The sequence below is a fragment of the Homo sapiens genome, chromosome 12, assembly GCF_000001405.40.
Source record: "Homo sapiens chromosome 12, GRCh38.p14 Primary Assembly".
NCBI lineage: Eukaryota > Metazoa > Chordata > Mammalia > Primates > Hominidae > Homo > Homo sapiens.
The window spans coordinates 18,249,349-18,277,246 of NC_000012.12; the positions used below are offsets into that span (position 1 = coordinate 18,249,349).

At 34.4% G+C, this 27,898-nt stretch overlaps 1 protein-coding gene across 16 annotated transcripts in view; it reads left to right on the top strand.

Annotated features, from left to right (window-relative positions):
- Nucleotides 1-27,898, top strand: part of PIK3C2G (phosphatidylinositol-4-phosphate 3-kinase catalytic subunit type 2 gamma) — a 483,857-nt gene that overhangs the window by 6,388 nt on the left and 449,571 nt on the right. For 9 of the 16 annotated variants that reach the window (XR_931307.3, XM_047429007.1, XM_011520697.3 and 6 more), the window contains exon 2: nucleotides 12,058-12,229. The exons of 2 other annotated variants lie outside the window; for them this stretch is intronic. The gene's annotated coding sequence lies outside the window, so the exon portion shown is untranslated. Of the gene's footprint in view, nucleotides 1-12,057; nucleotides 13,445-27,898 lie in introns of those variants that run through there. 5 more of the 16 variants (NM_001288772.2, NM_004570.6, NM_001288774.2 and 2 more) reach the window with 2 other exon arrangements.

A 27,898-nucleotide genomic window follows, 5' to 3' on the forward strand; every position in this document is an offset into this window, starting at 1 on the left:
CTCTATTTCCAACATAAATTATATTGATAAAGTAACTACGTTTTCACTTTTTCTTTAAAATTGGTATTACTTGCTTCTCTTTCTCCCTGACTTCCACTACAAGTATTTTCCTTTTCATCCTACTCATGGTCCTCCTAGGCCCTGGTTAATCCATAAACCATGTTTCATAAATTAAATTGAATAGCACTTTAAAGCAAAGTATCGTATAAACAGCTTCCTGGCTAAGTAAGAAATAGAGCCAAGATCAATTAGTAATATCTATCATGGGCAGGAGCGACTGTTCACTACTAAATAAATTTGCTTCTCCAGATTTAGCCAAACAGTTGTATGATACCATTAATATTATTTGAACAGTATATATCTACATAGTCATTTAGCAACCAGGATTATAAATTAAACAGAAATTAGAAATTGAAAATCTTCTGCTAACTTTTTTCATTAAAAAAGTGAAAACTCAGAAATATCTTATATTTCACAAAGCTAAAATTTCAGAAATAAAACTGTCCTTTTTAAACTTTTCTTTACAAACCCATCTTAACTCGAATAAGCTTCCAACTAATAAATACTAATAGTTCCTTTTTAAAAAAAAAAAGCCTTTTAATAATATCACAGTGAAAATAATATTTCCTTGAAGGAGGTAAATGGGGGATGCCCTGTACACAGATCTTAACTCTAACTAATTGTAAGTTTAGCTCACTCAATGTAACCAGAATTAGTCAGAAAAATCTGATTTTCTCCTGTCTCAAGCAAACAAAATGTTAAGTTCACTAGTTTAGAAAATATCGACTGGAACTGCTAACAATTAGCTTGTTCTTATTATGGTGAAAATAGATTTATACATTTTATGTACTATATCTAGGTAATATAAAATGGCACATATTATGGAAGCAGGACAATTTTATTATTTAATTGTACCAACAGAAAAAAAAGTGAAATTGACAGAATTTTATTCCCAGTATAGCGGTCGAAAAACATTTTGTTATTATGAATTTGCCGTACATTATTGTCCTTTTTCATACTCCCAAAGGGAAAAAACATATTTGATTGAAAAATAATATATAGTTCTCATAAGGCATGATTTTTCTCATGTCCTAGTTCTTTTAGCCACAATCACGAGGAGCTTCTTGACATTTAGAGAAGCATTTCATTTCCAGAAGGTGGCGCTGTAGAATAGTTAAAAACGCAGGTTTGCTTTCCCTCAGAAACAAAGCAGATATTCCCTTCATTAACATCCAAGTTAACTGCAATTCTAAGAGTATTCAAATTAAATAAATGCCCTACTGCCCTTTCCTTGCTAACATTTTAAAATCACCATTTTCCTATGTCTGTGACCTAATTGTCTAGGCAAACTAGCAGTACAACAATTTAGAAAGTGCAATATTAAAAACAAAATAAGCAAAAATATTAAGGGATATGTTAGAAAAGTAGGCCAGGCTTACATGAGAAATACCAACTTCTGCTTTAACATTTAATAAAATTTATCTATAAATGCATTTGAATAGCATTTCATGCCATATAATTGTATTATACTCAAAATATACGTAAAATCAGAGAATTCATGTGCAAAATCAGATAATTAACTATAGAAATTCATGGATCTTCTAGTGATTATTTAAAATATTTCTGGCATTATTAAAACCTGAGGATTTAATAAGTGTATGGGGAAATTGAAGAAAGAGCAAAGAAATCAGAAAAGAGAGTAGAATTCCTTAATTCTTGAATTTTCTAGAGTTTTTAGAAATCTTTGCCTAGTAAAACATATGTAGCATTATATGTAATAAATTTCGACTACAGTAAATTGATCTGTTTTCTATGCAAAGACAGATGGAGAACATCTGTGATGTTGCCTGAGATTGTGAGTATTTATAGCACATTATTTATGTAAGCAACAAGAACCTATTCAGTGGTCAAATGAAAACTGTTATATTTAGAATGGAAAAGTCCACTTAAAACTGTCAACTTACAGTTTTTGGAAGAATTGGAAATTTTAGTCATAGTCATTTATATACTGGGAGCTTTTTTTTGTCTATTTGAGCCTTGTTGTTTACTACCTGTTATATCACACAAACTACAAATGCATCTCTAGTAAAACTCTAAGCATGTGATAACAGTAGACAATGACTAGAAATATATTTGAAATTCATCATGTGCAATGTATTTAGTGTAGCCTATAGTATCACAAATACATCAATGTGTCCCACTCTTACTTTTATGAAATTATCTTCACAATGCACCATGGTTTAAAATATCTGTTGAAATGGAAGGCATAGATCCATCACTTAAAATTTGAAGAGTCATACTATTATACTTAATCTGTTTTTCTTGAAATACGTAGCACAAATATTTGGATTCTTAAAAATTAATAATAACCATAGCTTGATTTTTGTTAAATTAAGGCTTTTCTATCATCTCAATTTACAATGTATTATAGAAATATGCATACCACAGTCATTTTCAGGATTTGGGAGGATGTCTGCAAATTAAGCTAGTAATTTATCTTAAGAAGAAAGGAATGAAGATACCAAAATTACACGTGACACTTTGTAATATTCATGTTTCTACTAACACACCATCTCTGAATGCAATAGACTCTACTCAAGTATTTTTAAATGTGTAAATGACACTTATTCTGTAAATACTTAAATTAGTTTTTTCCAGAAAAGACATATTCAGAAAAGGAACATTCAGTTAAAAAACTACAGGACATAAATTTTTCAAATATTCATGTTAGAAATTAAGCAGATCAAATATTCCGAGTCATATCAATATTTTTACTTCTCAGGCAAATATAGAAAAAGGTTATTACAATTCTCTGAGTATAACAACTTATGTACAGGATATAACCGAAACTATAGAACTAATACGGTGCAAATCCTTGACACAATTTTGCTCAGTGAGCAAGGTTAGTCTCTCACCCTGCTGTAATCAAGCCCAATATTATCAAATTGACGCAACAGTATATTCTCTGTCAGACAAATTACTCTTCACCCAAGACCGCATAATCCAACAAATCTATAAAGATGGAAATAATATATGACAATAATGTGGAGGAGAAAAACTAATATCTTTTCCTCACCTATCACAAGGCTCATAGCTAAGTCACCTGTAATAAAAGATTAACAAAACGCATATAAATGTATTGAATAAAAGTTTTGTGTGGTGTTGGAGCCTTCAGAAATGAAAACCCAAAGAAATAGACACTTGTATATTTTTATGCTAAATTCAATGAAGAAGTGGCTAGTCGTGCAGGAATGTAGTTGAAGGACAAAAGGATATGTATAATCTAATGGTAATAAACTTGGGGGAACCAGCAAGGCCTGTTTGTTCAAATTCGACTCTGTGTCCCTGTGTCTTCAGAAACATATACATTTCTTTTCTCTATGTATGAGGAGGGTACCTCTCCAAAGAAAAGTCTTATGACCTAGTTTGGAAGGAAGGCAGAGAATTCTTTTACAACCTGCTTCAGGGGAGAAGGGCAGGAGAAGGTCAGAGAGTAAGTTTCCTGTTTCTGCTCTTTCCTTAAATGCCAAAATGCCATATTTTGGGGTAGCATGCCCTGAAGTCCATTAATATAAATTTGGACAGTGACTGTCTCTGGGAGGAAAGGTAGCACTTGTTTTGGAAGACGTATGGGGAAACTTTCCCTGAGATGATGGAAATGTTCCATATCCTGACAAGATAAGACAGGTCTATGCACTTTTCAAAACTCATCAAGCTGTGCTCTTAGATCTATGCGTCTCACTGTGTATAAATTATATCTCAAGAAAAATGATCATATTCAAAGAATAGATTTTTTAAAGAGAACATTTTTAAAAGCTGTGCTACAAAATGTTATGGGAAAGAAGGAAAATTTATCTCCTTGTTGCATCAGCTTTGTCTCCAGTTGGCAAGAAAATGAATAAAGAAATAAATAAGTCGATAAATTAAAAAAACTTATTTGTAACACATATAGTCACGGTAGAAGTAATACAAAACAGATGTGGAAACACAAAAGGCACAGAAGCAGGATCAAGACCTATAGACAGTTGTTAAAAAAAATTGGTGCTTATTATAATCAAGAAGCAAAGGTATGTGAATAAAACACCGATTCCATATTATAGTGGGAGAGTAAAACGTGTGTGTGTATATGTATATATATGCACAGATATTATCATACGAGTCAGAAAGATATAAATACCTCAAGATTTGTTTAGATAAAGACCAATGCAATTTCAGAAGTACAGGAGAAGCTATTAAAAAGGTCTTATCTAAATAACTGAAACCTTAAAAGGTAAAAATAGGCATAAAGGAAACCAGCACAGTGACCGCCACACTCTGGAGTTGTAGCGCAATGAAACTCTTGAAGGACTATAACTATTTATGTGTTTCCCAAATGTCCACAAAGTAATTCCAGCTTGATCATCACTATCTCTTATGTTCTATATTCTAATTATCTGGCCATTATGGTAACACACAATGATTAGTGATAAAACTAGCCAATAACCCATCTGGTGGCTTCAATTATTTTTTTTTTTTTCATTTTAAGACAGCAATTAGCCAAACCTTATCTTCTGCATCTCATTCCTCAGATTGCATGTTTCAGTTTTTCTCTCACTCCAGCAACCCTAGAAGCCATAAAGCAGTGAGCATTTTCTGAGGCTGCTCCAAAGAGACAAACCTGAGTAAGAAAAAAAAAGATGCATCCTAAGAGCCTAGTGCTTAAAGTGGAGAAACATGAGCAGTTTACTTTAATCAACAGATTTGAGAATAGAAGAATATATGTTTTTCTTATTTTATTTTTAAAGAGTTAGAAGAATTTAAAAACCAACCCTCTATTTTTGTGTACTTTGTATTAGTTGTTGAATATTAACTTTACACTCACTTAATGATCTAAGGTAGACTGCTTTCCATTCTTACTGTTTTGTTTTTCTTTTCAGAATGGAACCCTAGACTTTATGAAATCACATTTCCAGAGGTCCATCTATGACCACTGTTTCTTGGCTCTTTACCAAACCATGTGGAGAGCTGTAGGAATCTCGAAGATGTGAATCTGTTTATTTAAATTAATCTAATGATTAGTAGCATTAATATTCAATAGATGACTTGTTTATTTTCATATTCTCTGGGGAAAGTTATTTATAAACATATATATTTTATTATAATTTTTTAATATCAAGTTTTTGTAATATTTGTAATATTCTCATTTTGGACCTGCACCTAAAAATAGTCAGTTTGGGCTGGGCGTGGTAGCTCACACCTGTAATCCGAGCACTTTGGGAGGCCAAGGCAGGTGGATCATGAGGTCAAGAGATTGAGACTATCTTGGCAAACATGGTGAAACCCAGTCTGTACTAAAAGTGCAAAAATTAGCTGGGCATGGTGGCATGTGCCTGTAGTTCCAGCTACTCCAGCTACTCGGGAGGCCGAGGCAAGAGAATTGCTTGAACCCGGGAGGCAGAGGTTGGAGTGAGCCAAGATTGCACCATTGAACTCCAGCCTAGGTGACAGAGTGAGACTCTGTCTCAAAATAATAATAATAATAATAATTTCTTAATTTAAAAAATTTAAATTTTCACTTAAAAATTTAAAAAAAGAAAGAGGCCTGGGCTCAGTGGCTCAGGCCGGGCGCAGTGGCTCACCCCTGTAATCCCAGCACTTTGGGAGGCTGAGACGGGCAGATCACCTGAGGTTGGGAGTTTGAGACCAGCCTGACCAACATGGTGAAACCCCGTCTGTACTAAAAGTACAAAATTAGTCGGGCACATGCCTGACCAGCTACTTGGGAGGCTGAGGCAGGAGAATCACTTGAACTCAGGAAGTGGAGATTGCGGTGAGCTGAGATCGCACCGTTGCACTCCAGCCTGGGCAATGAGTGAAACTCCGTCTCAAAAATAAATAAATAAATAAATAAATAAATAAATAAATAAACAAACAAACAAACAAATAAATGAAAGAAAAAAAGAAATAGTTTGAGTCTATTCTGATTCTATTTTCTATAAGTAACTTTTTAAGAACAATAATTACTTGAATTTATGGCTACTGTAGGAGTTAATACAGTTTTGATCTAATTCTATAACAAAAGTACCCAAAATGCAGCCGTGTAAACAAGACAAAATTTCTCTCACTTGTGTTTTTACTTTCTTTCTTTTATATCTAAGATGACACTGAGAACCTATAATACAGCTTTGCCATGTTCAGCGCAAGGTTTCCTCACTATCTCCCAACTGGTTGATGGTGTGTGTGTTGAGGGCGAGGGAGCAGACAGGAGAGCGCACAGATAATTCTTTTAAGAACACAACTAGAATAATCAGGCATCGTTCCTCTCCATATTTCACTGACTGCAACCAGTAAGGTGCCCACATCTAGTTGAAAGAAAGGCTTGAAAAGATGGCCTTTGGCTAGTTAGCCATCATCAGGAAAGAAGACGGTAAAAAATACTGTGGAACAACTTGCAGTCAATTACCCAAATATCCAGGTATACAAGAAGAGGAAAAGCACAGCTGTCATTTTTCAAGGCAATGATCAAATACCACTGGACAAGATTTTTGACCTCTTCTGCTATGGCAGTGAAATAATTTCCATGATTATCGAGGAAGAATTATGTTATCTTGGAGGAATTTATTGTCCCTTATTACTTATGGTTCCTATTTTCATTTCTCTATGAGATTATTTGTCCATTACTGCTATAGTAACCAAAACATTGTTTTGGTGTAATGTAAGTATTCAATAAATGAATTATCTATTCTAAATATGTATCCATTTTATTCTCAGAAGTATTTAATTACCCTGTAATTATTTTGTAAGAAAGAACTAGAAAATATTCTCTCTTTGGAGCTGCGCATATTTTGTGATGTATATGCTGCAAAACCAGTAGTGGGGCATGGGAGATACTTTAAGTCAAACACAGATTGGCTTCTGCAGGTCAATGCAATTCTCTGAAAACCTTAGTCTGCTTTTGATCTAGTTGCTTCCAGTCAGATCCATGGGCAAATTATCATACCCAAAGACCTAACCCAGGCAGTGTTGCTATGCACGCAGACTATCTTCTTTTATTTACTGGTTTCTTTGCTTAGCACATTCTGCTCTCCTTCGGTTTATGGGTGTCTACTTTGAAGCTACCTGAAAATATTAGTTTAGGCAGGAAAGCATCACTCTCAGCCTAACCTTCGAAACTATAAAGAACTTCAATTAACTGAGAGGTTTTAATGTGGGCACTTGAAAAAGTCAGAGGCCTATTTACTGCCGGCCCTCCTTTTTTAGAGTCACCTCTAGCCCGAGTACGTATTGTCACAGAACTTTGCACAAGAATCTTCCTCAGCAGTTCACAGAGGTTACGTGTTCTTCTGGCAAGTAATCTCCCTTTTTAAGGATTGCAAATGACAGTTTTATGAAATGCTTTATCATAAAGTAATGAGAATTACTAACTTTCTAGCCTGCAATATCTGTGTTCTCTCCCACTCTCAATCCTTAGACCAAAGCTTCATTTTTTTTATTATGCTAGAGTACACTTCTAGTAACCAAGTCATGTTTCATTTAAGATTAGATGTCATTAAAACATAGAAAGAGACCCTAAAACACAGCATTTTATACTAGATAAAAATTTATGTCTCACTAAATATCAAGTGGTAGGTTACTTGTTGTTGGCAGGACAACTCTTCCGTTCTCAATATGTCACTTCTGTCTCTGGATTCAGGGAAACAGCTTTTGCCATGCCTGACACAACTATCAGAAAGAGGGAAAGGTTCCAGAATATTGCATGCTTTAATCTTTAAGGACAAAGCCTTAAGTACCAAATATGTTCTGTTTAAATTCCATGGTCTAGAGCTTAGACACATGGTCCTACCTCTCAAAAGGGAGGTTGAAAAAGGAAGTCTTAAGTTGGATGGGCATGTGACCAGTTGAAACTCTATTGTGGAAACAGGTTAAGAAAAGATACGGGGTGACAATTCTCGGTTTGATGCAATACTGTTATTCAGAAACAAATCTAAATATTTAAAGCAGGAAAGATTCATTTAACACAGAGAATAAACTACTTTTTGCAATAATGATAGGAAGAGCCACAGTTGTGGGCTCTAGGCTGGAACACAGCACAGGAGAACTGACACACCCAGGGACTGAGATCACCACTGGGACTATTGCAGATGAACAATCCACTATAAAAGCAATCTCAGAATTAGAAAGCTGGGAATCAGCTATCACCACTACTTTTGCCACAGCTGCTTCTCAACACCAAGGGAAGTGAAGAATAGATACTGCAGTATTGCTTTGAAAAACAAGATCTTCCTTGCCAGTACACGAGAGGGAAAGAAAAAAAGAAAAGAAAAGAAAGAAGGAAAGAAAGAAAGAGAGAAAGAAAGAAGAAAAAAGAAAGAAGACAAAGGAGACAGGAAGGTGGAAGGAAGGAGGGAGGGAAGGAAGGAAGAAGGAGGGAGGAAAAAAAGAAGAAGAAAAAGAAAGAAAGAGAAAGAAAGAAAAGAAAGAAAGAAGGAGAAAGAGAAAGAAAGAGAAAGGAAAAGAAAGAGAAAGAAAGAAAGAAGATAGAAAAAGAAAGAAAGAAAAGAAACAGAAAGAGATAAAGAAATATACTCCTTGCTTGTACCTTTTACCTGTACAAATACAACTTCTTGGTAGAACCAACTCTCATCCTGACTCTCGGCTGCAAAGGCATATGGGAAGTGTCATTTTTAGATTTTCAGAATCTAGAGTAAGGCATGTCCACTTGGCAGAGGGTCAAAACATCCACCTCTGCTCCTGCTGAACAATGGGCACCACAGAAGAGCATATATTATTAAAGCCTTATTTTTTCCAAATTAATAATGAAAATGACAGATGATTGTTCAATCTACTCTTTTATATTGTATATATTTATGGTGTACAACATGATATTTTGACATATACATTGTGGAGTGGCTAAATAAAGCTAATTACTATATACATTACTTCCCATACCATTTTTTTTTTGTAGTGAAAACACTTAAAATCTGTCTTACAAATTTTCAAGTATACAATACATTGCTTTAACCATAATGACTATGTTGCACAATGGACCTCTTGAACTTAGTTCTCCTGTCTACCTGAAATTTTGGTATCCTTTGACCAACATCTCCCCAGTCTCCCTCCCACAGCTTCTGGTGACCACCATTTTACTCTCTGCTCCTATTAATTTAACTTTTTTAGATTTCACACATGAGTAAGATTATGTAGTATTTCTTTTTCTATGTCTAGCTTATTTTACTCAAGATAATGCCCTCCGGATCATCCATGTTGGCGCAAATGTCAGGATTTCCTTTTTTTTTTTTTTAAGGGCGGGAGAGGATTCTATTATATATATGTACTCATTCTACTTATATAGCAGTAGATGAATCTCTCATCTATGTTGATTCTTTGATAATGAATATCGTCTTAAAATGATTGGTTCAAGTTTAGTACAAAATGTTGAGGCTCAGGTTGTATAAGACTTAGAAAAATCGATATAAATATTTTGTTTATGCTAGACATTAAATAGTATTTTTGGAATGTCTAAAAGCTCTATCTTTATAAAGAATTTCATATTCTATTGATTCATTTTTTCCCTCTTAAAGTGAATGAATAAGCAATTTACTTTTTAATAGAGCAGCAATGCAGTTAGCACTTAATTTCTAAATAACTTGATCAAAACATTTTCCTTTCTCTGGCAGTTTCCTATATTTGAAAGAGAAATATTCAAGTAGCTGCATTATTACCTGTATCTGCCTTCATTTGTTTTTCACCCAGGTAGTAACTAGGTTCGGGTCACTCTATTAGGCAACAGGGTGGGAAGTTGCTCTTGTAATCTTCATGATAGCAGAAATCTTGTCGGTCTTTTTCACCACATTATAACCTGTACTAGGTAGCTGCTAAGTACCCAGTAGATACTCTATCAGAACTTTTGACTTAAAAAGTGAGATCCTGCTTTAAAATGGGTATATACAAATAACATTAAAAAGAGAATGAGATGGAAAATGTGGAGCATGTATGAAATATGCAGGTAGCCAGCTTCGGGGTCTGGGTCACAACTCTTTATATTAAACTTTAAAGACAACTCTGCTAAGTTCTACCTACTGGCAGAGCGAGTGTTGAAAAATCTTTCCCAGGTTTCGAGCAAGACTACAGGCAGATGAGTAAGGACACTTGTAGAACTCATCTTGCAGTGTGTGTTCTGAAAATTGAGGAATTTTGAACAAAGAAATCACATTTGCTTTAGAGTGGGGGGAAATAAGCCTATTTAGAAAAAAATAGAAGGTTATATATAATTTGACATTGATTTCTTAATGTAACAAGCAAGAAAGTTTTAGAAGGCTGTTCACCATGGAACTTAAAATTTTGACTCTTACAATAAAATGCATAAACAAAATAACCTAATTAATGTTAACATAATAGACAGGAAATCAAATAAACTTGCACGTAAACATTGATTTTTAAATAAAATTTGCATTTCATTGTTGAAGCTTGATCATTCTGTCTTAAATACTTTGCCTAAAAAACGGAGTAGACTACTACCAGGTAAGACAGAAGGCTTTGTGTGTTTAAATTTTAGACATAGGACATAGCCATGAAAAAAGTAAATTTTAGAAGAAGCTTAATTGTTCTCTGGATTTTATTTTAATTAAAAGTGCTACTAAAATAGGTAAGCGTACATGTTAAGCAAGGAAAGATAAATTATTGAAGAACATATTTTCAAAGGAAACAAAGTACAAGGTACATTTTTGTACCCTTTCTTGTTAATGAATAATGACTATCAAACTGTTCTAACCTTAATCTTTGAGTTTTATCAAGATTAGATTGTTCCTTTTCAACCCAGTCCAGCTCTCATAAGTCCTCCTGAAAAATGTATGAGCCTACTTTAATGTGTGGTAAGAGATTTGTAGATCCAAAATGTTTCAATTTTTGAAGGGACTATTTTTCTTAAATAGTGGCTCATTTTAGGAATTAATTTAAAGAGATTTTTAAGGGTTTAGCATAAATGTATTTGGAAAAAATCACTACATGTAAAGTTATTTTTAAAGTCATCTATCTCCCCAGAGTTCCAAAGCTAAGAATTGCAGCTCAGGTTATTATTAAAATATAAAGGTATGATTGTTTTCCTGTGTGACATCACCCTCCACTTCTAGGTCAAGCTCCCATTTTTCTGTGACCTCTCACACCTTTGTAGCTTTAGAACAGAAGGGGTACAAGGGTCAGGGGATGGTGTTGTACAATTGTGAACCTTCAATACTATAAATATCTTTCCATGAGTAGCCCTGAAAGTGATATAATTCTCAACTTTCTCTTCTCTACCCTTCCATGTAAGAAATCATTCTTACAGAAAACTACTATAAATCTAAAAAGAAGAAAAAAGAAGAGAAAAAAACAGCAACAACAAAAGGATCCTACGACATATTTTGGAAACAAGAGTAATCCAATTTATTTTTATTTCCTAAAACTTTCTCCCAGTAAAGCAGGCCTACTTCTGGCAGATCCTATTTTACCTGGATTTAATTATATAATTTCTTGTGTTGTCTCAGAGTCTCCACACATTGTTCAATTTCAAGAGCAGTATACCAAAACAATAAACCACCCACATCTACTTGCTAATCTTATAAATATTGTTTTATTTTGCTGTTCCTTTTCAGATGTTATTAAAAATATTTAAATTGAAATTTACTATGCATCCTAAGGCTAAACTAAAAATTAATATCTTTCTAAATTAGAAAAAAATGAACTTATTAAATTCTAATTAAATAAAGAAAATACCTCGATAGGTGAAACTCACAGAATGGCTAGAATACCTTTTTCAAGGGCTCACCTCTGCTCCTGCAAATTGAGACCACTGGTTTCACCACATCCAACCACCTCCACGTTTAAATGCATAATAACCTTAGCTGTAATTTGAGGGGAAATATGCCCACCTTACACATTTTTAAAAAATATATTTTCGTTTGTATATTGCTGATCAGTATCTTTGGCCCGAATTCTGTTTAGCACAGAGAAGCTCATTTATGGTTGGGTTTTTGGCTTAAATCCTCTATTCATTATGTCAATGCAAACCTTTTTTCTTTTTTTTTCCATATAACCCTTCAGGGTTTGATGGAAAATAGATTTCCAAACACGCCCAACCTGCCAAACAGGAATAAAAGCTTCCAGTGGAAGCATCACGTTCCCTTGAAATAGAAGTGTTTTAGCTTGTGTGAGCGTATTTGACTCTTGAAAAGAAATGAGATCGTGTTTCATTTCAGGAAGATATATGCGTCAGGTAAGAAACTAAAACAAATAAACTTCCTATACTTAACTACATAGCATGATATTTCGACTCAAATATATTATTGAGGCAAAATAGCTCTTTAATTATACTGTGATACAAAAATGGTAGATGAATTTAAAATCAGAGTGAGTTTGTGCCATATTTTGAAACAGAGATATCCAGCTTGTAAATATTCCCCAAAATCTACAACCAGAAGATAGATCTTTCCTGAATAAACTTATTCTTTCTCTCTTTCCCCCCTCCCTCTGCCTCTTTCTTTCTCTCTCTCTCCAGCTAGCTGACACCACAGATTGCATTTGATAACATACCATTTCATCAGAGCCTTGAGCTAATTATTTCATTCATGTCTACTGGTAGATTTTTCTTAGTGTACACTTTTAGTGTCTTGAATCTCGTGCCACTAGCTTGTAGACGGCATCCCCATGATGGCTCCCAGAGGAAATTCTTGTTAAATGGAAGGTGGAATTTCTTAACATATGGGATCCAAACTAGAAGCAACTCCTGCTAGGGAGAAGCTCTGTTCTATTTCCATTTCCTCCCTCTGTGCTGCGGTCCGTCTCTGCTGTTTGCCTACCTCTTTATTCGTAGCTCACTGAGGCCAATGTGAACCTATTGTGTGTCCCAGTTGCCCCCTTATGTTCTTGTCTGATGAACAATTCTATTTCTGAAGCTTAGGATTAAAGTTAGAGATAAGATATACCCCATTCTTTCAAACTAATCATAATATATAACTTGTACATAGTGATCTCCTTTTTAAATGCATTAGCTAATGTAATTATTGCATCTTAGGAAACAGACTCAGAGAGCGAGGTTAAAGAACACATACCCCTCATGTCATTAATAATGTTATTAAGAGCTTGGATTTTAATCAAGGTTTTCTTATTCCAACTCAAGGGCTCTTTCCATGACATGTTATTTATTCTCCACGCATGTCTATCTGCCATCTGAACCAGATAAAAAGCAAGTTTGTGAATTGAGCATAAGAAAATAGTGAGCATAAGAAAATAGCTAACCATGAGTGAGCTGACAAAAAAAAAAAAAAAGACAACTTCTACCTCCTATAGAAAAGGTTCATAGTAGGTGAGTCTTCACTGATTCATTAAATAAGCAAGATCCTGTGATGCCATTGTGAACCCCAAGGCTATGATTTCACTTTTTCTTCTGCCTGAGCTGGAATCATTTTGGTCGTGAGGAAGCCCTCTTCAAGTAAGCAAAACATGGTACAATTCTCTCAGAGCTTAGGAAGAAAACGTGATGAAGTAATCATTTCCAATCTAGAAAAGCATTGTATTGTATTTCTAACTAAATTCTTGCTATTTTCCAAATGTATGATCTGATGAAATGTTATACAGATAATCATAGCAAAATATGATTAAATTGTTTAGGCATAAATCCATTTTAACTGTTATCAGTTCTTAGCAATAGACCTTTTATGACAAAACTCTTGCATTTTAAATTATTATGATTTATTTTTCTGTTGGCTGAAATATTTTCAAGAGTTTTTCAGCTATAAAATAAGAGTGATGTGTATCTTTGAATTTCTTATGCAAAAATATGTATTTTTCTTGGCAACCTTATTTTTTATCTCAAAGTTTTTCTAATTTTATTGTGGTTTTTCACTGTGCAAGTTATTTAAAAATGTTTTTTAAGTTTAAAAACATGAGTTCTGTAAGTTATCTTATTTTTACTGATTTTGACTACATTGGGGACAGAGAAAACAGTCTGTACAATACTGACTTTGAATTATATTAAAATTAGCCAAATATATGATCATTTCTCATAAGCCATCTTGTCCTTATAAAGGTATAAATTCCAATACTGGATACAGTATCTTATATATGTTCATTGAATTAAGCTTGTTAATTGTATATTTTTGACTGATCACTCTACAAATGATGTGAGATTACTATTACTTCCATTATAAATGTGGCTATATCAGTTTCTCCTTGTAGCAGTATAAACTGTTGCCATTTAAATTTCAAATGAATTATTTTTAAGTATAAATCTGTGATATGCACCTGGTGAATTGACTCTTTACCTTATAAAGTGTTATTCTTTACCTCCTGAATTACTTTTTCCAATAGGTTCGTTTTGTCTTTTCAATGTAATGACATCAGTTTTTTGTTGTTGTCGATATTATTACAAATTGCCTGTGATACCTTTTTCGTCTTTTAAATTTTAAGCAATACTTATCCTTTAAATTCTGGTATATCTGTAACAAATCTCATTTAGCTTTTTTTCTTAATAAAATGTAACAATCTATAGATTTTATATGACATAACCAGACAATTCACATTTATGTGTTTCTGATATATACCTTTTCATTTCTTCATCTTAGAGAACATTTATATTTGTGCTTCAGCTGAAGATAGGACAAGGCAATTGTTTGTCTCCAGCTGATTGAAATCAGTGCCACCCTTTTCTCATCTTCTCACTTACGGAACTTCTCCCAACTTGATTGATGTTTGTTGTTTTTGTTGTTGTTTTCATTCTTTGCTTCCTACCGGTAGAAAATATACCCTCTATTATCTGAATATACATGTATTATCTAAAAATTTAACATGTATTCTTCAAAAATCAAAATTTATATCTGTACTTTCTCAATAGAAAATGTTTTTTAAGTTGGATTGCTCAACCCCAACTTACATAGTATTATAGTCTAGTATTTCATTATATCTTACTTATTTTGCTTTCCAGATTAGAAATTGTTATTATTGTTTATATAGTCAACGTTAGTCCAGAATTATCCACGTATTTACTATCATGTTCACTCACCTCCCCTTCTGGTATTTTTCAGACCTTCCCTGGGATAATTTTCCTTCTACTCTTAAGCACATTCTTTAAAAATTTCCATTAATGGTAATGTCCTAGAGATAAACAGGTTATGAGAACACATTTTTACTTTGTTCTGCTTTTCAAAATGCTGTTTTGTTGAGTATTGGCTTATATTCTTCATATTTCCACCTCCCGCTGAGATCACGTTGGCTTCCTCCTTTGTTGTGATATTTTTTGCTTAGGTTCCATTATGATTACTTTCTTGGTATTGTGCATCTTTGAATAGGAGTAATTTTTTTTTTTCTGGAGACAGCTACTTTTTGGAATATTGTATGTGAGAACAAAAGAAGAAAATCAGCTGTGTGAGCAGACAGGCTGAATTCTGATCTATTTTTCTGAATACTTTCTCATCAACACTCAACCTTTTGAGAAAACTCTCTCTGGGCGTGGGGAGAAAAACCATCTACCTGGCTCACAGTGCATAGTGTCTTCTGTAGATTGAGATCAGCATCACCACTCTTTTCTCCTCTGTCTTACCAGACTAATAACCCACTGTAGAAGCCTGCATGGGGCATCTGAACATTTGCTCACTCAGCAAGCCTTTTCCTCAATGATTTTGAGAATTCTCTTTCTTAGAGTCTTCATGATAACATTCTCTTCTCATAGTACTGAAATAATTTTATAAGCATCAGCTTGATTATTTCATGGTTGTGTGTGTTTCTATATTTTTGTGTATACATGTGCGTGGCTATTTATTCAAACTCCAAGGAGAAAAACCTTCTCCAGAATAATTAGTGGCAAATTTTTCTTTAATCTGTACTTCTGCCACTTGGGCTCTGGTTAAATCCCCTTCTCAAATATGTCCTTGATACTTGGTTTCTGATGTGAGAAAATTATTTTTCACATTTTAGGTATGTTCATTTATGCTTCATCATTTAAGGAATCATGAATAAATACAAAATTAAATGCAAAACAAATGTTTTTGTATGATTTATTGATAAACAAAAGGATTCAATCTTTAGCAGATGGAAAAGCTAAATATATATAGTATAAATGTAAAGTTAATATTAGTTAATAAATTGAGCTGGTTATAAAATTCCAGAAGCCTCCATTAATTCATCTTAAAACACACACTTTTACCTGATTCATAAATGCCTATATCTATTATAACTTATGTAAAAATTTCAATAAAATGGTCTTGATGCTTTTAGCCTACAGTTTTCTGTTACTAATATTGCCTCTCTTGCTTCATTTTGCATGTCTCTGTGTGTGTGTCTGTGTAGGTGTGTATGTTTGAGTAATATATTTGGTAATACTTTTAACTTTGCTTTAATTTTTTTATGTGTTTCTGTTACAAAAACTATGCAATAGGCTGGGCGTGGTGGCTCAAGCCTGTAATCCCAGCACTTTGGGAGGCTGAGGTGGGCAGATCACCTGAGGTCAGGAGTTTGAGACCAGCCTGGCCAACATGATGAAACCTCATCTCTACTAAAAATATAAAAATTAGGCAGGCATGGTGGCAGGCGCCTGTAATCCCAGCTACTCAGGAGGCTGAGGCAGAAGAATCGCTTGAACCCGGGAGGCAGAGGTTGCAGTGAGCCGAGATCGTGCCATTGCACTCCAGCCTGGGGAACAAGAGCGAGACTTCATCTAAAAAAAAAAAAAAAAAAAAAAAAAAAACACTACGCAATAGAAAATTTATATTTGCATAATGTTCTTAATCCTATTAACTGCTTATATTTATCATCATTAGATGTCAGTGATCCTACAGGGCCCATTCTGTTTGCTATTCTTAAAACATACTTTTAATTTCCTATATTCCTGCTGAATATAATGTAAATGTTATCACATTTTGATTCCTCTAGTGTTTTGGAAAATACGGATGGTATTTTTCTCCAACTAATAGTTCTATAATACTTAATAACTCTATATATACAAACAAATATATATGAACTTTTAAAAAAGCATTGATAGAAACAAAACAGCATATTTTATCCCCTTTCCTCTTGTAAGACAGAACACTTAACATGCCTTTCAGTTTTAGTTGAAATATAATCTAAGACTCCACCTTGCTCATTAATACGGAGTAAATTTTGAAATTATTAAAATATATTTGCAATCATTATTTAGACCTAGTCAATGTTAACTGGTTTTTAAAGAGTTACTATTAGTTCCCTATTATTGAGTTCTTATTTTGATTAAAATTTTGTGGCCGGATGCATGTTACTCATTAGAAGTGCACAAAGGTTTGTGAGCACTTACATATGTTCAAATATGTTTTAGCTGCTCTCACATACAAAAGACAAACTGAATGTTTGGTATAGAACATATTTACTTTAGAACTATGTAGACATAGTTCCATTATCTTAAGGCAGTTTGTCTTTACAAGTAAACTGTATGTCCAGATAGATTTTTCTTTCTTCTCCTCCTTTTTCTTCCTCCTCTCGTCCTCTCTCCCTCCCTCCCTTCTTCCTCCTCCTCCTCATTCTCTTCTTTTTCTTCATTTTTTTCATGTTGGGTAAATGCTTCATTTTTAAAATATCACAATACACATATATTTTCTGGTTATGTATATATGTACCATATACATATGCAGATGTAATATGCATATTCAGGGTTTTCTTTTTTTGCCATCTTCAATGTTGGTTGTTTCTACTTTTTCTGATTTATTTTTAGGATTTCCATAATACAGTGATAGTTCTCTCCTTTCTATGAATGTTACAATTGTAGTATCACATCTTATACTTTCTCTCACTTGTTCCTCTTATTCTGTATTCATAGTATTTCTCAATTTTTAATTCAAAATTTAGTTTTCTGATGTATCAATTCTGCTTTAAGGAATATTTTAAATATGTGACTGAATTTTCAGTTTCTTCACATCTCAGTATCTCATTAAGCTCCATTTTATTGGCATCTCTCTCTTACCCAATTTCTTCTTTTTTTCATTTTGTTTTGCTACTTTTTAATTTTATAGATTATTTAATAGAACACATGATTTCTTAATTTTATAGATCACATATAACTACTGTTTTTATAATAATTACTTCGTTATACATAGCATATATTTTTCAGAAGTAAGATCTTCTTTTATGTCTTGATAAGCATTCACTTTATTTCTTGCAGAATATTTGCACATCTATATTAACACATTTTTCCCAATTACTCGTCCTTTGAATTCTCTCCGTTGATGACTCATAAATAATGTCTGCAGCTTATCTTGCCTGGTTCCTCTCATTATTGACCTGTTAGAGCATGTTTCTCAGATTTTCAACTAAAGGGATGGTAAATATGAACAGACTTCATCTGATTTCTGGTCACTAGCAGTCACTTAATTTCCCTAAATTCTGGACTTCATCTATATTGCTTTCATGTCCAATTGACTATTTTGAGAAGGTATACGTATCTAGGTAATTCTAGCCAATATATAGTTCTTCTTTTGCCAGAAGTGGACTGTTTTTGTACTTTCTCATGGTATTCTTTGTATCCCAAACATTCATCCCCCGTTCCTACATAAGGCAAAACAAATGCACAGTCACCATAGATGCGACATTTTGCATTAATGCAAATTTTAGTCTTAGAACGCATGTAGAAAGCTAAGTGGCCATGTGGCCCTCGTTGCTACTGAAAGGTGTTGCTGTGCAACAGATCAACCTTTTTAGGGCGGTGGAGGGAATTGATCCGACCCTATATCTCCCAATTCAGCAGTAGCAGGAAAATGAACCATTTCTTTACCATTTTTTCAGGCTGGGATATTTATTCTCCTCCAGATACAAAGCAAGGGCCAGCCAGTACGTGTGGATTTTTTCCTTCCATTTCTGTTTAATCTGTTTTGACTTACATATGATAAAAATTTAGTTGACTGAATGGATGTGAGTCTTTGTGGCTGGTAATGCTATACTAAATGAATTTTTTTGTTTGCTTATTCAATTCATAAAATATTTGCTTAATTTTTTGAGTTATGTTACCAGCCAGATACCATTCTACAGCAAGTCAACTGTATTGATGCTAAGAACCTTGATTTTTATTGTTATTATTATTATTATTATTCTAAGATTAGAGATATCATTAAGGATATTATTTCCCGAAACCACAGTCTATTTGACCAGCTTTTAATTTCATAATTTGTAACCTTTTTCAAGTTTTTACAAAGTTTTCTGAATTTTTCTACCTATCTGTTCTTTCATTCAGCCTTCCCATACTAATTCATTTAACTCTTAGACTACATTGATTTTTAGATGAATTCCCACTGTTGTGCCTCCTATGCAGTGAATCATATGACATAATTCAGATACTTGTTTTAAATAGTGAAAATAAAATGTGACTATTCAAACAGTGCGTATTAGCCATATTTTAAAAAATAATTTTATGTGGTATTTATCATTGTGTGTGCTGTGTTCTCAGAAGCATTAAAATTACCAGTGTATTCAACTTACCATTGGTTTTACCTACATTTGCCTTCCAAAAAATTTCTAGATCTTTCTCTAAATCATATTCTTATCAAATATATCATTCACCATAACAATAACTTTGTCAAAGATTCAGTCAAAACTTAGATTTCTTTCTTTTTTTTTTTAAACGAGTCTCACTCTGTCACTCAGGCTGGAGTGCAGTGGTGCATATCAGTGCTCCAACCTCCACCTCCTGGGTCAAACAATTCTCATGCCTCAGCCTCCCAGGTAGCTGGGATTACAGCCGTGCACCAACACACCTGGCAAATTTTTTTATTTTTAGTAGAGATGGGATTTTGTCGTGTTGGCCAGGCTGATCTTGAACTCCTGGCCTCAAGTCTATCCTCCTGCCTCGGCCTCCCAAAGTGCTGGTATTATAGGCATAAGCCACTGTGCCAGCTGAAACTTAGATTTCTTAAGAACCTATATCCTCATGCTAACAATTACATTAATATTAAACATCATTAAGTAGGTATCTGTTCATATTTTTTATATTTTGCATAATTAATTCACCTATAATTTTTTTTTTGGTGAAGAACATCCACATGTTTCTAGCCACTAGAACAGCAATAGATACATTGGGGTATATGTAGTTTCTCTCCCCTCTCCTGCATCTGGGCAGAGGGCAGTAATGAAACATTATCTCCCCTAGGTTTTCCTCACCCATGCAAGTCTTCTCAAACCATGTCCTGTAAAGTGACTACCATGTAAGGAGATTTCATTTAAGAGCTAAAACTATTTACCACTTTGGTTTCAGAACAATATTAGAGTTTTGCAAAGAAGAAACTGTTATGGAATTATTTTTTTCTGCTACTTACTTCCATTCACAGTCAAATACTCATAAAAACAAGGGTAATCTTTTGCATGAGTGGAAAATTTTGCTGCATTACATTGGTAACTAACAATAATGCTTACGCAAAATGGAAATAAAGATGACAATACACATTATTTTATTATTATCAGTTAAAATACATAGAATCAGTTAAATAAAATAGACAAAAATTAATGGATTACAGGATACATCCAAATAGCAATTATAAAATGATGTGGCTACTATTTGTCAGACACTGACAAGTTACCCTTTTTTCTTTTTTTTTCTTTTCTTTTTTTTTTTTTTTGAGATGGCATCTCTCTCCGTTACCCAGGCTGGAGTGCAGTGGTGAGATCTTAGCTCACTGCAACCTCCACCTCCTGGGTTCAAGCAATTCTCCTGCCTCAGCCTCCCATGTAGCTGGGATTATAGGCGTGAGCCACCACGCCCGGCTAATTTTTGTATTTTTAGTAAAGACAGGGTTTCACCACGTTCGTCAGGCTAGTCTTGAACTCCCGACCTCAGGTGATCCACCCACCTCAGCCTCCCAAAGTGCTGGGATTACAGGCGTGAGCCACTGCGCACAGCCCGACAAGTTTTTCTTATATAATACTTATTAACACTATGGAAGGCAGTTATTAATATCTCTATTTTTATTAATAACAAATTTGAGATGTTAGAAATGTTTACTAATTTACTCAGAGTCATGCAGCTATTAATGAAGAGTGAAGATAAAACTCTCTTGAGCCCATCTTTTTTTTTTCTCTCTCATTAACCCCTGTTACCTTTGACTAAATGGTGCTGAAATTCTCCTTTAGTTTTGTAGAGTTATGCTGAACTTAGGGAATAACATTAAATGTGGCCCAAGGACTACTACTGTTTTCCAGGAAAATATGCAGTGTCTTAGTTCCCAAGTGAGGTAAAACTTATCAGTTAAACCAGTCCCAATGTTTATTGGACCAGTATTCTATAAAATGTAGGCTAGCTATACAATGATTTATAGTTTTACTCTAATTCTAGACAACTTAAAATAACAGAAAACAGTCTATTGTGGGTACTTTATGGTTAAAAGATATAATGCTTTATAAATATAAATCCTCTTAAGGAATAGTTTCATATTCTAAAAATGTAACTTTGACATGCCTGAAGTTGTTTACTAACATACCAACTCCTTCTATTATTAAAATATATAAATTTTAAAAGGTATTTAAATTAAAACTATAATTTTACGAACTACATCTGAATTGATTAATATTTTTTCTCATAAAAGCAAGAAGAGTGACAGTATCTCAATTTGTAAAATATACAGTGGGACACATTCTTTCACTTGAGATTTAATCTATGCAAGATGTTTTGCTGATTTTTTTAGGCTTCCTTTACCCTCTTTTTGTAAGGAAGACTTGGCTCTCCCTTAGGACTCTGTTCTTTTGTGACACTCTAGTGGAAGCTGTTCATAGTCCCATGCCCCTCATACCAAGGAATAGGAGACAGGCCCACCACATTCTTCTATATGGCTGTTGACTACCAGGCCCCTCCTTTTCAACACAGCATAAAATTCCATTCCTTAGAGTCCCCAGACATCCTTCGCTACTGCCCCATGTCTCTTCTACTTGCTGACCTCCTCTGACCTTGTTCCTCCGCATCTGTTAGAGACTTTCCTGCTAGTTACACTTGGCTCAGCATTTTCATTTCACACTCTAACTCCAGGCTTCCCAGAGAACTTCAAAGCCATTCAATCATGATTTTTCTAAATAAGGTCATTTATTCCTTTTAGTAATAAAATACTCATGTTTTTCCCTAGGCCCATGGCAAACAAAATAAGAGACTGCGTTTCCAGCCTTCCTGTTGTTATACATTCAGGGCAATGAGATGTGAGCAGAAGTGATATATGCAGGTCTCATCAGGTCCTTAAAAGGAAGCAGCTTGCTTTTCACTTATTTTCCTCTTACCAGGGCCACAAGTGGACAAAGTGAGATGGCAGTGGCTTATTATTTTTCTCCTACCTCTCAGACTATTCTGTACTTTTCTTTTTGGGGTCAATCCATTATATACTGATTGTCTCTTATACTGAGATTTTATTCTCATATTGATATCTCTTCTTAATCTCTTAACCGTCTTTAAAAAAGACTTATGGAATAAACCATAAGATATGTCACCTCAATTCAAGACCCACATGTAATAACTGCTTATTCGGCATCTTCACATAGATTTTGTACAAGTCCTTCAGTTTCATACATCCAATGAATCATGCTACCTAATACTCTTTAAATTGATGATATTAGCAACTACACAAAATAAAGGTACAGCTTAATGTGCTATTAGAAATTGAACAAACTTGTAATCACCTCCCATGTCTAGAAATTTCCTAACATCCAGAAAGCCCTGCTTACTCTCCCAAACACAATGCCCTTTGTCTCCCCATGAGTAAACACTCTTCTGATATCACTTCTGTACTTTTCTATATAATTTCTTCAAGCAAGTGTTTATTCCTAAATTGCATGGCTTTATTTTCCCTTATTTTGGGGAGTAGTATTTTTAAGTATTTTTTAATTAATGTATTCCTGCTCCGTTTATTTTTTTCTAGAAATTTACTTGTTAAAGAAACCATATTATTTTTTCTGTACAGATTTCCACCTGATTTAGTTTAATGTGTACCTCTGTCCTCCATATTTCCTGGGCCTTGGTAATTAAATCTAGAGGCTTAATCAAATATATTCAAGTTAGAATTTTTGGCAAGACTTCTTCATGGTAGTTTTGAATTCTTTATCAGGAAGCACAAAACACCTGGCTGCTTCTCTTCTTGTGATATTAGCAGTCACCAATGCTTGATGCCTAGTTTTTATAATTCATTAGTTTCTGTAAAATATTGATAATGCAATTTCATCACTTTCTTCATTTATTTATTTCTCTTCTACAAAGAGAAACTTTGCCTCATCTATTACTTAGTTATCCAGTGACAGCTTTATTTTAACAATGACAAAATAAATGTTTGATTGTACACTTTATTAACCCTGCATTGTACAAAGACAATTAATTCATTGTGCATGAATGTGTGTCATGTGAATTCATGGATATAAACATATTTGTATTAGCTAGTAAGAGCCTCTTTGAGTTAGCTCACAGGTTCTATTGATGTACCCTCATATTCTTTGATATCTTTCTTGTGAACTAGAGTCACAGGACATCCTAGCTCATCGTATACATTATCTGCCCAAACCTGAAATCAACTGGTCCACCAAGCAACCCTGCTTTCTTTTACTAGGTAATGATGTTCCAGTACCACAATCTGAATGTGAGGAATGCTCATTGTACTGAAATGAACATTACTTCTAGGCCTTCCAAGGAATGAAGTTATAAGAAATGACACTCACACACACACACACCCCCATCCATAGACACACACAAACACACACACACAGAGATAGAGAGAGAGAGAGTGAGAAAGAGAGAGATGCTGGGGATGCTAGAATTACTCATTTTTTAAAATCCAGCATTACACACAAAATATTATGAGGATGAAAATTCTAATACAGTCACTTATATGATTAACAAAAAGAGTTTTCTTAAAAATGCATACATTATTTTCCAGCACCATTTATTAAATAGGGAATCCTTTCCCCATTGCTTGTTTTTGTCAGGTTTGTCAACGATCACATAGTTGTAGATATACGGCATTATTTCTGAGGGCTCTGTTCTGTTCCATTGGTCTATATCTCTGTTTTGGTACCAGTACCATGCTGTTTTGGTTACTGTAGCCTTGTAGTATAGTTTGAAGTCAGGTAGCGTGATGCCCCCAGCTTTGTTCTTTTGGCTTAGGATTGACTTGGCAATGCGGGCTCTTTTTTGGTTCCATATGAACTTTAAAGTAGTTTTTTCCAATTCTGTGAAGAAAGTCATTGGTAGCTTGATGGGGATGGCATTGAATCTATAAATTACCTAGGGCAGTTTAATAAATGGTGCTGGGAAAACTGGCTAGCCATATGTAGAAAGCTGAAACTGGATCCCTTCTTTACACCTTATACAAAAATTAATTTAAGATGGATTAAAGACTTACATGTTAGACCTAAAACCATAAAAACCCTAGAAGGAAACCTAGGCAATACCATTCAGGACATAGCCATGGGCAAGGACTCCATGTCTAAAACACCAAAAGCAATGGCAACAAAAGCCAAAATTGAAAAATGGGATCTAATTAAACTAAATAGCTTCTGCAGAGCAAAAGAAACTACCATCAGAGTGAACAGGCAACCTACAGAATGGGAGAAAATTTTTGTAACCTACTCATCTGACAAAGGGCTAATATCCAGAATCTACAATGAACTCAAACAAATTTACAAGAAAAAAAACAACCCCATCAAAAAGTGGGTGAAGGATATGAACAGACACTTCTTGAAAGAAGACACTTACACAGCCAAAAAACACATGAAAAAAATGCTCATCATCACTGGCCATCAGAGAAATGCAAATCAAAACCACAATGAGATACCACCTCACACCAGTTAGAATGGTGATCATTAAAAAGTCAGGAAACAACAGGAGCTGGAGAGGATGTGGAGAAATAGGAACACTTTTACACTGTTGGTGGGACTGTAAACTAGTTCAACCATTGTGGAAGTCAGTGTGGCAATTCCTCAGAGATCTAGAACTAGAAATACCATTTGACCCAGCCATCCCATTACTGGGTATATACCCAAAGGATTATAAATCATGCTGCTATAAAGACACATGCACATGTATGTTTATTGCGGCACTATTCCCAATAGCAAAGACTTGGAACCAACCCAAATGTCCAACAATGATAGACTGGATTAAGAAAATGTGGCACATATACACCATGGAATACTATGCAACCATAAAAAATGATGAGTTCAGATCCTTTGTAGGGACATGGATGAAGCTGGAAACCATCATTCTCAGCAAACTATCGCAAGGACAAAAAACCAAACACCGCATGTTCTCACTTATAGGTGGGAATTGAACAATGAGAACACATGGACACAGGAAGGGGAACATCACACCCCAGGGACTGTTGTGGGGTGGGGGCAGGGGGGAGGGATAGCATTAGGAGATACACCTAATGCTAAATGATGAGTTAATGGGTGCAGCACACCAACATGGCACATGTATCCATATGTAACAAACCTGCACGTTGTGCACATGTACCCTAAAACTTAAAGTATAATAATAATAAAAAAAAGCCTACATTATTTTCATGTCCTCCACCTTTTATTAAAGTTGAACTACGTATATGTTGTCAGATCAGATAGCCATATTAAACTGTCTTCAATATGTCCCTCATCTGTCTGAGGTCTCTAAGAAAACATGTTATATATTTAATTCTCACCAACAGGCTTTGTGTTGATATATCTCTGTCATTTTGATTGTCTGAAGCTTATTCTCCAGTATTTATTTTTAAAAGTCCATAAGAACAATATTTTCTGAGTTCCTGCATGTTTCCTGAGTTCCGGGGTCATGACAGTTTGAGAAGCTTTAATTTTGAAGTCAGTTTATGTCCTTGGTTTAATTCTCTTTTCTTGAATATCTAAAATATATCACATTATTTGCTTCTGTCACAAGGTGTTGCTGCCAAAAAGTCTGTTGACAATTTTCCTTCCCAAAAGATTGTAAGACTACGTTGGCCTTTTTCACTGCTGTGACTCATGACCTAGTACTTTGTAACAAAGTGCCTTCTCATGTCTTCACCTTTCTTCATTCACTTCATCTTTCTCCTTTTATATTCCACATCTTTTTTATCCTCTTAATTTATTTATTTTTTTTGAGATGGAGTTTCGCTCTTGTTGCCCAGGCCGGAGTGCAGTGACATGATCTCGACTCAGTGCAACCTCTGCCTTCTGGTTTCAAGCAATTCTCCTGTCTCAGCCTCCCACATAGCTGGGATTACAGGCGTCCGCCACCACGCCTGCCTAATTTTTTGTAGTTTTAGTAGAGACAGGGTTTCACCATGTTGGCCAGGCTGGCCTCAAACTCCTGAGCTCGTGATCCACCCGCCTCGGCCTCCCAAAGTGCTGGGATTACAGTCGTGGGCCACCATGCCTGGCCTATCTTCTATTTTTCTTACTCCTGTTTTTCTCCCTTCTTGTTTTTGGCCTTGGCTTTGCCAAATTCATATCCTCTGTATGGAAACCAATTCAAAGACCTCCTCTTCCTCTTCTCAAATCTGTCAGAAAAACTGTTACTTCCTTCAAGTTAGCTTAGGAATCTTCTATTCTTGAAATCTTACCCACTCACTTTGACACACTGAAATCTTCTTTTCCTAATGACATTGCTCACAGTTGTAATGTAAAAAAATTTATCTGAGCAGCAAATAAATTATTGAAAATAATTTTCCAGTCCTCTAATTCATTACTAAAAGAACACTCAGTAAAACAATATTTAAACAGAGGAAGGGGATCTGCATATTTGTTGCAGTAGACAAAGAAAACAGCAGCTACATCTTCTGATCAGTAAGCGTTCTCATTGTCCTGGAATTCTCTTCAGGTTAGATTTGTCTGATAATAATTGAATCATTATTGTTTCTTCCTCAAATGCCACTAGGTTGTACTCATGCAGCCCCCAGCAAGTGTCATATTTCAAAGGCTATCAGGATTCAGTCTGTGGGTTTCCTTCACTCTCCATGTCTTTCCCTGAAGCAAGCTTTATTCCCACAAATCATTTACCCCAAAGTTGTTATGTGAAAATAGGAGGCTAACTTTTTATTGTCTTATTTACTCCTGAGACACACTCAGAGGCATTGAATGAATTACTGATTCAACTGCTTTATTATATTTAAGGTTGAAAATGTAACAACGCTTAGGAATCAAAACATTCTTGAAACCAGGTCTCAAGATCCTGCACAAAATTATCTTTGACATATTGCACATTCTAAACAAAAACATACCCAATATATAAACCTCAAATACGTTCTTCATGAATTTTACTTTTGCTTTTTCCAAGGCAAAATAAGCTTAATAATATTCTATATAAAATCCTACAAATAAAATGGAGCCTGTGTGTATTAAAGTTATTCCTATATTGTACTGTAATATAAATTTTTGTCTATGACCTACTTGAAGGCCAGAGCTGTATTTTATAGTTTTTGTATTCATTTTTGTATTACAAGTGTTTTGTACAGTGCTTGACATATATACTTAAAAACAGCTACTGAATAAACAAATGTGCAAATGAGTAATAGGTGTGTGAATAAATAAATGTATTTATTAAAGTCAATATCTCTCAAAAATGAGAATAAATGATGGCTTTGAATTTTCCATATGCAAGAATCTTTAGGCAGTTTAATGGGAAGTGAAACTTCTATAAGATTATAGGTGAATAAGAAAACATCAATTGTTCGCATAAAAGGGCAGCTAATCAAGACTGTGTAAAGATTAATGTTTTCCCCAAGCACCTCTTGTCTTCACTTAAATAAAAATAGTATCAGAGCTTATGTAAATAGTAAAATGTTTACCTTATCACTCGATTCCAAATTAGAAATGAGAAAAGTGAGATAATGTAAATAATAAAAGATAAATCTATCTATCTATCTACCTATCTGTCTATCTAGTTATTATCTTCTCTGAATTTATACACCAAATTGAACTGAGGAAGGTCAGATTTGTGTCTTGCTAA